Source organism: Homo sapiens, chromosome 10 (genome assembly GCF_000001405.40).
Source record: "Homo sapiens chromosome 10, GRCh38.p14 Primary Assembly".
NCBI classification, from domain to species: Eukaryota; Metazoa; Chordata; class Mammalia; order Primates; family Hominidae; genus Homo; species Homo sapiens.
Window position 1 is genome coordinate 77,662,390 of NC_000010.11, and position 13,766 is coordinate 77,676,155.

General features: G+C 44.8%; 1 annotated feature.

Annotated features, from left to right (window-relative positions):
• Positions 10,710-10,908: a silencer, noted in NCBI's record as "fragment chr10:79432857-79433055 (GRCh37/hg19 assembly coordinates)". NCBI's record gives its function as "represses an EF-1alpha promoter that drives an FKBP-Casp9 reporter gene in an ReSE screen in K562 erythroleukemia cells {active_cell/tissue: K562}" and the evidence as "EXISTENCE:reporter gene assay evidence [ECO:0000049][PMID:32094911]".

The following is a 13,766-nucleotide window of genomic DNA, read 5'->3' on the forward strand; positions in this document are numbered from 1 at the left end:
GTCATCTGAACACAGGAAAAGGCTTTGCCGTGCATCTGTACGCATATTGCCTTCATAGCCAAGTTATTCCTAAATCGTTCACCAGTTTAAAGATGTGTCCCATAAAAACCTTCTTCTGGGCTCCATCCAAGGCGGTGGAGCCAGCATGGCCCTGGACGGATATTTCAGGGAGGCTGAGAGCGACCGCAAGGAAGCATTGTGCCTAATCGTGGCACTCGTCCGGATATCGTAGGAAAATTATGACCGAAAATACCTCCTGAAGACAGAATGACCACACGGCCTGCGGCAGACTGGCGGTGTCAAGGTGTTCAGCTTTTTCCAAGAATGGCACAGAGAAGAAGACCACAGAAGAGCTAAGCTTCTTGGAAAATGGGTGTGTCATGCTAGGGAAAGCACTGGCAGCGCAGGAAATAAAGAAAGCTCCCCACGTAAGCCATCTAGCACAAGGGAATGTATGGCAGAGAGTCAACAGCCACGTCTTGGCAGTGGAGGATCTAGGTTCAAAAGGCAGCTCTGCACCTTTCTAGAAATATGACCTTAAACAATTTGGTTAACTACTCCGATTGCCAGGTTCCCCATCTATAGTACTGAAAATCATTCTATCCATAGGTTGTGTAAGGATCAAAGAAGATAACAGACATAAAATATTTAGCATTGCACCTGATAAATAGTAAATATTTCACAAATGAGAGTATTGAGAGTATTATTACCCTCAATGGTAATTATTATTATTATTAAGAGTATTATCATTTTCTCATTATTAACTCCTTATAGCTGCATAGTGTTTTAGAATTTGCAACAGGCTGCTCTATTCATTCCTTTTTTTGTCTGAGAAAAATCTGACTAGGTAATGTATTAATTCATATAATTAAAAATAAAAATGATATACAAGTACATGATGAAAGCCTAGCTCCCACCCCGTCTCTATCCACCTTCTCCCCTCCTCCACAGCTGCCCTTGAAGGTAACACTTTCCTTAGGTCCTACATATGCACCAGTGTTTCTTTCTACAAATACATATATTCAGCTTCCCCCCATTTTTTACACAAAAGTAGCATTCTATTCACACTATTCTGCTATTTGCTATTTTTACTTTATATTAATAAATCTTACTATGGAGAGATCCTACTTTCCATATTAGTATATAGGAAGCTTGCTGGATCTCTTTCTCTCATACACACACACACACACACACACACACACACACACACACACAGAGAGAGAGAGAGAGAGAGAGAGAGAGAGCTACATTGTATTCCTTTGCATAGCTCTATCACAGTTTATTTAACCAGCTCCCTCTGAACGGACACCTGGGCTGTTTCCAATTCCAGTCGTGTATTGCTCTTGACACTGCCACAGTGAGGCCCCTTGTTCATCGTCATCTTGTACAAGTGCAGGCACATCCTTAGAATGAATCCCCAGCAGTGAGATCATTGGTCAAAGGGCACAAGCATCTGTGACTGTGGCTGGTTATTGCTGAGGGCTCCCCATTGGGATTGTGCCATTTTGCACCTCCCCAAGCAATGTACAAGAGGGAGCAATCCTTTTAACTCTTTTCATTGTTTCTTCTGCTAGCTGCCCCCATGTCTCCAAATGTTATGCTCAGCCAGTTTCTTTTCTTCTCTTTTTTTTTTACCATCTTAACCTTATTTAAGCACACAATTCAATGGCAGTAAGTGCATAATGTTTAAGTGTCACCAAAGCATTTATCCCAAACTGAAACTATGTGCCCATTAACAAGAACCCCCCATTCCCTCATCCATTCTTGTTTATGCTGGCACTTGCCCATATAGCATAGTTGGAGGGAAATAAACCTTCCTGACAAATCCCCCAAAACACTCCCACTTGCTCTCTGAACCATCGTACTCGTTTAATAATAGAGGAACAAAGGCTTTCATTGTATGATAAGAGATTAGCCTTGTAGAAAAAAATTCTCCTGGAAGAAGAAATCAAAATCTTTAAATTTCACATAAACTTGTGAATGGCTCCTTTCTATATGCAGCTCTCTGTGTGGGTCAGGTAGAGGATGCTGGAAAGGGCAGTGGGGATGGTATATCCCATGGTATGTGGGGTCAGGGGACTCAGAAAAAGAATGCTATATTTTATCTACTTCTTAGTCTAAGGACTAAGTTGCCTAGCTGTCGGATAGAGGAGAGTGAATTTGGCTTTGCACCCAGCAAGTACTTGGTTTTCTAAGACATGCAGTTCTGTGGGCACCTCCCTAATGCCATCGCCCTCTCCCCAGATTTCCCAGCTGTGTCAATATTCCTCTTCCCAAGCTCCAAGCCACCTGAGGACCACATGCCAGGGGGCATTGAGAGATAGGTAGGATGAGGCTGAGAGAGCAAAGGAAGTAACAGTAAGTAGAAAGGACGCTGCACATAAAGTGACAAGCTATGTGGACAAGATGATGTATGTAAAGTGCTTAGTAGGGGGTCTGTATCCAGCTACTGTTCAGTGAATGGTGATGATGATGCAGATGACCGAAAATGATAATGGTAATGATGACAAATTCCTCAAAAATCAGCTGCCTGAGTAGTGGCTCAGCTCCTAAATATTGGAGCAGCTAACCTCCTTATACTGATCTGAAATCCAATCCCTCCAACTTCCAATGGGTCTTAATTCTACATTGGGCCACCCACAATCTGATTACACTTCCCATTACACACACGTCAGTGGGTTAAAGACAGCAATGGTTCCTCCTGGTATCTCCTCTTCTTCAATCTGAATATCTCATCATTCTTCAAACATCCTTCAGAAAACTTGGTTTCTAGACCCTCATGAAGCATTTTGACAGATTGAAACAAGGGAGACATGAGGAGAGGAGCTCCATTCCATGAAAGTGAGATGGGCCACAGATGAGAGGCAGGTAGAATTTGAGACCCAGGGACAGAGGAAACAGGGTGAGAAAGGAGTGACTCCTTGGGTCAGAGGCCCAAAGAAGTGACTCTTCAGAACTTAGTTCAGAGCAGTGATCCGTGAGAGCACCAATACAGGACTATCAGCCGGGTTAGCCCTGGACCAAGGAATGCCAGGATTTGATAGGGCTCCATGGCTGAGTCCCTGGGAATTCTGCTATTTCATTACTAAATCTCTGAGGTTCACCTCCATGTGAGCCCATCTAAGTAGGGTATTAAGAAGGTTCTTAACACCCCCCCAAAGTCACCCTTTCCATCTTTAGGTGGAAAGTTATGCTATGAAGACTTTGGCCTCCACATTCCAGGGGCTAAGTCCCACCCTTGAACAGAAAATGTCTCCCTCATTTCCCTGTAATAACTTGGTGGCATTGCAGGACAGAGTAGAGGGACAATGTATAGTAGAACAGGCAGGGGATACTGAGTGGCTTTGTTCCCCTCCCTGGAAATCCCTGTGGACCCAAAGACTATACAGGAGCAGTGGCATTATCACTGAGATCTACTAATTGATAGTGGTTAATAGTGATAATCTGATTAATCTATTAACCTAGTTAATAGGTTGGCAGATCCCTGGTGTTTACTTCAATTAGATCCCATGCATTTGCACATTTTTTTAGTCCTAGGTGATTTTTTTCATCTCAAGTTATCCAAGTATTTGTCCTCTGCTGCAACTCAAAGGCTTGTTTTCCTAAACATTCATTCATCACTTTCCATTGAGAAAATCTCCATCCATTATTCTTCCTCCTTACATCACTCTTTAGTTCTAAAAACCTCCCCAGTGCAAATACCACATCAACACTCCCTTTTTCTTTTCTGTTTTTTAAAATTATTTTTTATTATACTTTATGTTCTGGGATACATGTGCAGAATGTGCAGGTTTGTTACATAGGTATGCACTTGCCATGGTAGTTTGCTACACCCATCAACCCATCATCTACATTAGGTATTTCTCCTAATGTTCTCCCTCCTCAAGCCCCCCACCCCCTGACAGGCCCCAGTATGTGATATTCCCCTCCCTGTGTCCATGTGTTCTCATTGTTCAACTCCCACTTATGAGTGAGAACATGCGTCAACATCCCCTTTTTCTATTAAGCCTAGCAGCATTCCAAAAAGGAAGGTAGATGTAGTCTTTCATACAGAGAATAAAGCACTGAGAAAGAAAGTTCATGCCCATCTGGTGTCCTCTCTTAAGGAAGCCACCACCACAACAGTGAACAGATGAGCAATCATTGGCTCCCTACTTCTCCCAGCTCACTGGACTCAGGGCCACATAGCCAAGTACAAGATGCCTGGTTGGTATAAAGAGTTCCCAATTATATCACCAGGCCTGGTTATTTCTGCATGCCAGGACAGATCCAGGTGGCCCACACTGGGGGGCCTGGGAGCTACCTTCATTTTTGGATTCACCTTCACAGTGTATGGATGTGAAGCTCAAGTTCAGGCTCTGTTTCTGCCTTGGCCCCAGGGAGAAGATATGTGCAGTGGCACGTAGCCACCATTGCCACCTCCCAAGTTGTGGCTACAAGTTCTTCCTGGCAAAGTCCATCTTCATTGATGCTCTCCAATTTCCCTCTCCACCCACCATCTCTTTTCTTTTTTGGATGATAATGACTGCCTGAGTTAGCTCTTATGAGTCAATTCCACCTATTTTTGGTCAAACTCCACTCCTGGTTTGGTCCTCTTCCAAGACAAATCCAGAAGCCACAGGGGGCTGGAGAGTTGCCCTGGCAGAGAGTTGCCCAACAGAACTTCAATTAATTTCCCAGGTTGCCATCAGGACCTCCGACATGGGAGTGGAGCTCAGCGTCCAAGCCTGGCAGGGAAGTTGGCTGGCATTTGGGGAAGACATTTAGGATGCTGGGTCCTCCTTACTTATGCCTTTAAATATGAGGACCAGTTCCTGACTCCAATGCTCTCCCAAACACAATGGGGCCCAATATTAGAATTCCACATATTTTCTAAATTCAAAAGTCAGAATGAAGGAGAGGTGGAGAAAGACAGCGACACCAACGAAGACACAGAAGCAGACAGAAAGCTGAGAGAGGCAGAGAGGCAGACTACAGGAACAGAGGGAGCCTCGTTCCAAGTTGCCTAGCCCATTTCTCACACTCAGACACTTAACTGTGCTCACCCCTCATGTTCAAACTCATGCCCCTCTTGTTCCCCAGCACCTGCAGTGGTTCTAGAATTTTTATGTAAGAAGTTGACCATCTAGTTGGAAGAGGGGCTAAGGAACTAGCTTTGAGGCTGCATTTGCATACTGGGCACACTTTTGGTTTTGACTAAGTGCTCACTTGGTGTGGCCAATGGGAACTGTCAGGGGGTTTCCACTGCCCAGTACAATTTCTGTTCCATCAATCCTGCCACGTGGTCCAGTCATTCTCTTGCCCCTCAACTCATGATGTCCAGACTCATGTGCCTAGTTGTGCTCATTTCACTTCCTTCCTTTTACCCAGACTCTGCAAAGACCTTCCCAGGCTCCATGTCTCAATGAGACCCAATTAAATACCATATTGCTCACTTATGTGGCAGCTGGGTACAGTATCTGGCTGGATGCCAGGGACTGCCTACAAGCCTTGCATCTGTACAGGACTTTGCAGTCTGCAAAGTGCTTTTGCATCCAGCATCTTATCCAACTCTCACAACAGCCTTACATGGTAGCTAGGAGAGTAAGGGTCATTGTTCCATCTTAAAGATGAGGAGAGACAAGAATGGTAGCAGGTACACCAACTTCAGACACACAGACCCGCATGGAAACCCCATCTCTGATGTCTATTGCTTTGGGTGAGCTGGGACAGTTCTGAGTCTCAGTTTTCTCATCTCTAAAATGGGCCCATAGTTACCTACCTTGCAAAATTGTGTTAGATCTAGAGGTAACATATTTAAGGTGCCTAGCAAAGTACATGGAATCGGGTATAAGCTAAATGGTAGCAATTTTGAAGATTGATGATGATGATAGTGGTGGTGGTGGTGATCATAGTGACTGTACTAACCAAGATGTTAGTAGTGGTTTTATTGTTTACCTATACTTTCTATCTTTTCTATAGTTAATCATGACTAGCATGATTTATGAAAAAATGGTTTAAATATTTCTCTTTTTTTTGAGACAGAGTCTAACTCCATCACCCAGGCTGGAGTGCAATGGCATGACCTTGGCTCACTGCAACCTCCATCTCCCAGGTTTGAGTGATTCTCGTGCCTCAGCCATCCAAGTAGCTGGGATTACAGGTGTGCGCCACCACACCCTGCTAAATTTTTTTGTATTTTTTCTAGAGACAGGGTTTCACCATGTTGGCCAGGCTGGTCTCGAACTCCTGACCTCAAGTGATCCGCCCGCTTTGGCCTCCCAAAGTGTTGAACTTACATGTGTGAGCCACCACACTCTGCCAGTCTTTCAAGTATTCCTGATAAGAACTTTATTCTTCTTCTCCAGAGCAACATGTTAGTTCTGCAAAAACTCCACCAGGAAGCTGGCAGCCCTGGGCAGGTGCTGTCTGAATGCCTGGCCAAAGCCTCATTCCCCACGCTCCATCTCACTCACCACGTATTCAAGTCCAGGTAATTGTGCCCAGCAGCTACCAGTTCCCATGTAATTGTCCCCAAATTGCTCCGGGTGGCCTTTCCAGGCAGAAGCTCTCCACAATTAGTCCTTTCATCAAGATGTTGAAAGACAAGTGATTATTTTGGGGAATTACGTGTCAGCAAGAAGATGCAGCTTTAATAGGGCACTATAGGGCCCTCATGTTAATTACAATCTGGAAGATACTATCACATCATTTCTTCATCCACAGCTCATTAGGCATTCCAGCCTCAGCTCCCTGACACGACTGTGGATTTGTTACAATGTGCGAAGGAAAAAAAGTATCTCAAATGAGGACAGTGTAAGGATTCTGTGGATGCACCCATATGCAGGTGGTCAGCAAACATCTTAATAAGCCTAATCTTGTCTTGGATTCAAAGTAACATGTATACCTATGAGAGCAAGCATATCCATGCACACAACACACACACACACACACACACACACACACACACGCAGCACTCTTAGAACATCTTGCGAAAAATATCCAAATGCTTCCTGATTACATTCTTCTGCTTCACTTTCTTTAGCTTTTTTTAAGCAATGAGGAGTTATTTTTTGAAATAGGAAACCAAAATCTTCAATTAAGTATTCAGTATTTCTTGAGGGCCTACATATGGCCAAGTCTGGTGTGGGTACCCCAGGGGATAACAGAGAAAAACACATGTCCTCATGGAGTTTATAATCTCATTAGGGAGAAAGAATCAGTGCCCACAAAACAAAGCACTAAAGAAACAACAGGCCTGGCACAGTGGCTCATGCCTGTAATCCTAGCAATTTGGGAAGCCAAGGCTGGTGGATGACTTGAGGTCAAGAGTTCGAGACCAGCCTGGCCAACATGGTGAAACCCTAACTCTACTAAAAATACAAAAATTAGCCAGGCGTGATGGCGCACCTGTAATCCCAGCTACTCGGGAGGCTGACGCTCGAGAATTGCTTGAACCCAGGAGGCAGAGTTTGCAGTGAGCCGAGATCGTGCCACTCTACTCCAGCCTGGCAACAGAGCGAAACTGTCTTAAAAAAGAAAAAAAAAAGAAAAGAAAAGACAAAAAGAAAAAGAAAAGAAAGAAAGAAATGACAGCAGGAAAAAAGGAGGGTATTGTCATCTTTTAAATGCCTCTGGCACTCTGAGAGAAAGGTCTGGGCATAAGGGATCTCAGGAAAAAGTAAAAACCAAACTGGGCTTAGCCTGGAGGGATGAGTCATGTTGTACAGGCATGAGACAAACATATAGAATGGTCTTTCTTGAGAAGAGGGGATAGAAGGCAGAAGACAATGAGAGAGACAGAGAAAGAGGCAAAGGAGAGAGAGAAAGAGAAAATGAGAGAGGGAGGGGGAAAGGGAGGGAGAGAATCAGGGAGGGAGAGAATGAGAGAGGGAAAGGAAGAGAGGGAGGGAGAGAATGAGAGAGGAAGGCGGAGGGAGGGAGAGAATGAGAGAGGAAGGGGGAGGGAGAGAATGAGAGAGGAAGGGGGAGGGAGGGAGAGAATGAGAGAGGAAAGGGGGAGAGAGGGAGGGAGAGAATGAGAGAGGAAGGGGAAGAGAGGGAGGGAAAGAATGAGAGAGGGAGGGGAAGAGAGGAAGGGGGAGAATGAGAGAGGGAGGGGGAGAGAGAAAGAGGGAGAGAATGAGAGAGGAAGGGGGAGGGAGGGAGAGAATGAGAGAGGAAAGGGAGAGAGAGGGAGGGAGAGAATGAGAGAGGAAGGGGAAGACAGGGAGGGAGAGAATGAGAGAGGAAGGGGAAGAAAGGGAGGGAAAGAATGAGAGACGGAGGGGAAGAGAGGAAGGGGGAGAATGAGAGAGGGAGGGGGAGAGAGAAAGAGGGAAAGAATGAGACAGGAAGGGGAGGAGAGAATGAGAGAAGGGAGAGAGAAAGGAAGAGAGAGAAAAGAGAGACAGACTAGGGGAGAGAAAGAAAAAGGGGGAAGAAATACGAAGAGCAGTGGGGACAGAGGGGGAACAGAGAGACAGAGAGAATGAGGGGGAGACAGGGAGACTGGCAGAGACAGGGAGAAAGAGAGTAACAGGGAGACAGAGAAAGAGAGAGACACAGGGAGAAACAGAAAGAGAGAGGAGAGAGCAATAGGGAGAGAGAGGGACAGGGAGAGAGAGACAGAGGGAGAGACAGAAAGAGAGAGGGGAGAGGGACAGGGAGAGACAGAGAAGAGAAAGAGAGACTTGGGGGAGAGAAAGAGGGGCAGAAATATGAGAGGAGGAGGGAGGAGAGGTGGGGAAGGGAGGACAGGGAGACAGAATGAGGGAGGGGGAGAAAGAGAGGTAGAGAGAGATGGACAGAGGGGAGAGGGAGGAAGACAGTCAGGGAGAGAGAGAGAATGAGGGCATGAGAGAATGGGAGAGGGAGGGAGGGACGGCACACAAACACGTAAAGGAGAGGAGGGAAATTGCCAAGCAATGGAGACCCGGAGAGTGATCTTGAATAGCAGACAGAAGGTTGGGGTGACTGAAGAGAGCACTATTTCACATTCTTAGGCAGAGTGTAAGGTGGTAACAGAAGTGAGCTAAGTATTTGTGAAGGTCACTGGGGACGCTGTGTCCAGATCTTTGGAACCCTGCTCTTTTGGAGGAACTTCATGGAGCTAGCTGAGCTCGTTGAGCCTCTCAGGTTGTCAATTTCTCTTAGAAGTAAAAGAGCGCTGACTGCGGAAGTGAGAGGCAGGGGGTGTGTGCATGTGCGTGAGTGTGTGTGTGTGTGTGTGTATGTGTGCAAGTGCGCTACATGCTGCCTTGATGAGACCATCTGATAGGTCCCTGCCATGCCAACCTGGCACTCTTGTTCTTTGGGCACAGATGAAAGAGCTGGGATAAAACCAGCTGGGATTAGGGAGTTAATGATGTGCTTGGCCTTGGGAAAGTTTGAGGGGATCTGGCTTCCTCAATCTTGTTACGCAATTTATAACCCCGTCTTCCAACTCGGCAGCCCCTCCTTCCATGTCAGTATTATTCTTGACTAAGAATTGCTCTTGCTTGCTGAGGGTGTACCTATTTGTGGATTGCTTGTCACCTACAGTTGAAGGGAACTCAGATTCCTAAAGGGCAGTGTCCTCAGATTTAGTCCATTTTTGTCCAGCCTGTAAGTATGAGCTGCCATGTTCATTTTCCCCCTACCACCCAAGCCAAGTCATTTTAGGGTCTGGCCGCAGGAGGCCAGTGCTGGGTCAGCTTTGAGCCACGGCAGGAGGTTTACAGGGATTAAGGCAAAGCGAGGGACACCAGATTTGGTTTCAAAGTGATATTCACCAGGATATTGGATTGCATTTTAAGGAGCTACTAATGGAGATGTGGGTGAGTGGGGGCCAGCCCCTGAAGATTTTCCATTCCGATAGTGAAATCGAGTCGCCCAGTGCAGGCTGTCATATGGGGCTGCTGCTCTACTTTGCTTGTTTAGAGGGGAGTCAATGACAGTGGAAGGCCTTGTACCAGGGCCAGGGATGGGAAAAGCCACCACAGGCCTCTCTGTCTTCCTGAACCTGTGGACCACCAGTGTAGGCTCAGGAGTAGATAGAGCCAATAAGGGGTGCTGGGAGATCCTCCTACCAGAATTTCCCCATTAATGACTCCTCTGCAGACAGCCAGGAAGGCTTTGGGGGTCTCTGAGAACCCCTTACATAGCATCAATAATCACAGAGACACAGGAGGGGGAACCTGACATGGTGTGAGGGGAGAATAAGAGAAGGGATAAGGAGCAAAGAGTGGACCTGTAGCTGAATACAAAGCCTAACAGGATCAGAATTCAGTCTGGGCTCTGGGAGGGGGTGAAACACTAGCTAAACGTTACTGACATCACTATTTCGCCAAGGTCAGCCTTCAGGGACACAAGACCTTCAGTGTTGCTGACTCAGAAGTTACCTTTTAATGCAAAGCCTATGCTTAATCCCTCTCATCTCTCCTTACCACCAGGCCAAACTGTTTACCCATCCCTCTTGGAGCCTGCGGTCTCCGGCCTCCCTGCCTTCCCCAGGGGCCATTCACAGCACCTCCTCCAAGTCACCTTCTAGGCACTGTGGAAGAAGCTTTAGCCTGGGGGTCCCCAGGGCTGGAATTCTAGCTGTGACACTGGTGGTGGTTGGACCTTGTGACCCTCCACCTTGCTGAGAGTCAATTCATGGATGTCATTATCTCTAACTCTTGAGTCCTAGTGCAGATTAAAGGAAATAATGAATGCATGTGAGGGGGCCAAGCACCAGGCTTGGCACCACAGTAGGTACTAAATTATTTCTCTCCCTTCAGAACTGAACCCCTGAGGTTGAGGACTGGGTGTTCTTGGTCTGTGCTTTGGGCCATCCCGAAGTGGCTGGAAAGGAGTGATGTGTTCAGGGAGGGCTACCAAGTAGCCAGTGGCCAAGGCCCCAGGGCTCTGAGTCACCCTCCACAGGGTCACCAACCAAGAGATCTAGCCTCCGCCTCTAAACCAAAGTTGAGTGACTGTTCCCAGCAGTTCCAAGAAGCAACAGCCAAGGCCTGTGGATCTGGATAAAGAGCTGAGAAACACCCTGGCCACTGTACATTCTGCTCCTCCCACACTGCTACCCTCCCCACCCCCAACCCTGCCCCACCTTCCCACTGTCCTACTCTTTGCTGGCAGGGGCAAAATCAATCGCATCTTCAGGGGGATGAAATTCTCCCATTCACTCTCCTCTTCCCCTTCAGCTAGCAACTAAAAAAGTCACATTTTATTATCAAGATGGAAGATCTTAAGGGTGGTCAGTGAAAAGCAGCACAGCCCAACAGAAAGAACCAGAAGACTACGACATCATCCTGCTCTGCATTTATTAGCTGGGCAATCTTGAGCCAGTTGCTGAACCTCTCTGAACCGCCTTTTCCATATCTGTGAAATGACAATGAAAAAGGAAATCTTTGCAGGGCTTTTATGAAGAAGGGAAAGCAAGACAGTGTATATGAAACGGCTTTGTTAACAGGAAGTGCTGTGAAAATATGAGGCGGTTATCAGAAAGAACATGCGTTGTAGGAGGTCACCTAAGGATATCTGTGATTGTGTCACCTCCTAGAACACATCTTGATTCCTGTGTTTGTTTCCTGTGTGATAGGCAGGGCCCTAAGCTAGAGGGAAGCTGCAGTGAACAAAAGGCCACATCCCTGCCCTGGAAGAGCTTACATTCTAGTCGGGGAAACAGACAGTGAATGAATAGCATGACATAGCATAGAGTTATGGGCAGGAGATAAGCAGGTGAGGCTCAGGAAGTGTGGGGTGGCCAGAGTCACTATTGTAAAGAGAAGGGCCAGGGAGGAACCTTCTAAAGAGGGTTACTGGCTCTCCTAAGAGGCTTCTCATAGCAAACTCCCCCTCCTTCCGCTGAGAGGGTTTGATGGCAGGCAACAGATGACTTAGGACTCCTCTAATGGTCTTTAGGAACAGGAAGGCACCACCACCATTATCATGCAACATTGTTCTGGAAGTGCAAGCCAATGCAATTAGATAAGGAGAAAAATAAGAGGTAAATGTATTAGAAAGGAGGAAGCAAATTTAATATGATTTACAAATGATATGATTATATATCTAAATCAACTAAAAAACTTTAGAAACAAAAAGATAATTGACTTTGGTGGCTTCTTCTTATATAAACAACCACCAGTTAAGAGAATATACTGGAAGAAAAAGTACCATTTATAATATGAAGAAAAAGAAAAACACATCCAAGAATAAATTTCACAAGAACTGTGCAGGATCTCTATAAAAAAAAAAAAAAAAAAAAAAAACTTTAAACTGCCACTTAGGAATTTTAATCACACTTGAATAAAAGACATATTCTTGAATACAAAATTTCAGTGTTGTAGAAATTTTGGTTTTCCTTATTCAAAGCAATCCTTGTTAAAGTATCAGCATAATTTCTTTTGGCTATACAAACTTATTCTAAAGTTTATCTGGAAAAGCAAATATATGAGAATAGCTAGGAAAAATGATGGAGAAAAATGAAAGTGGGCAGATGGACTTCCTCATCAGATATTTAAATGTATTTATTGTAAATCTACAACAAAACAATTCGGTAAAGTGCAATTTGGCACAGACAGATTTACAAGAGAGAGTCCAGATATAAACCCAAATGCATATTGGAATTGGGTATACCATAAAGGTATAATTCAAATCAGCAATAAATAAATTACTCAATAAATAAAATGGGAAAACTGCTTAACCATTGGGGTTGGGAAAGAACTAAGCTGGAAACCCATTTCACACCTTATACTAAAACAAAATTACAGATGAAGCAAAAATTTAAACGTAAAACGTACACCTTAAAAGTTCCAGAAAGATACACAGATGACTTTAAAAATAATCTTAGGCTAGAGAGAGTCTCTGTATGCATAACACAAAACCCAAAAGTCATTAAAAATATTGACCATGTAAAGTTGTGTAAGTCTGTAGGTTTAGAAAAATAGCATGTAAAAGGTCAAAAAACGAATACTAAACATATTTAGCATATAAGTTAAATAGACTACTTCTTGGGTATTTTGTGTACTAGTTAGGATAGGGGAACTACTATTATATTTAAAAAAAAAAAAGACCTAAAGTGTATGATGGTTCAAGTCAAGTGGTTTCAGTTAACCACAGAAAAGGGAACCCTCTCCTCTAAATCATTCAAAGACCAGGCTGACAGGTCTTACCAGCTCTAACCCCGGGTGTCATGGAGGCGAGTTGGTGGGAAGTTCCCATGGGCTAGGCTTGGCAGTAGCATATGTCATCTGTACGCACAGTCCCTTGGCTAGAACTCATTCACATAGCCATATCTACCCTAAACAGGGCTGAGAAATGTAGTCCCTCGCTAGATGCTTCTTCCCAGGGACAATTCTACACACCAGAATGCAGAGCACACATTTCTGATGAGCAGTTAGCCATCTCAGCCGCATCGTTCATGCATGTCACACGTAGAAAGGCAGAGGGCAAATATTGCTAAATTAAAAAGAGTTCCAGAAATCTATTCAAAAAGACAAGCAGAGCAGAGGCTATGAACTCACAGTTCATAGAACAGAAAATGCAGATACTCATTAAGCAAATGAAAAATCCTAAAGTTTGTAATAATTAAGCACATTAAAATAAAAGCAACAGGAAGATGCCACTTTTTATTTATCAGACTGGTAATGATGAAAACGTTTGGTAAGAGTTGATAAGTGTGTGTACCATACACACCTTCAAATACTGTTGGTGGGAGTATACATTAGTGTAACACTTTTGGAGAACGATTTGGTAATATCAATAATAATTTTAAATACATGTATCTTTTGTTTAACCCAACAATT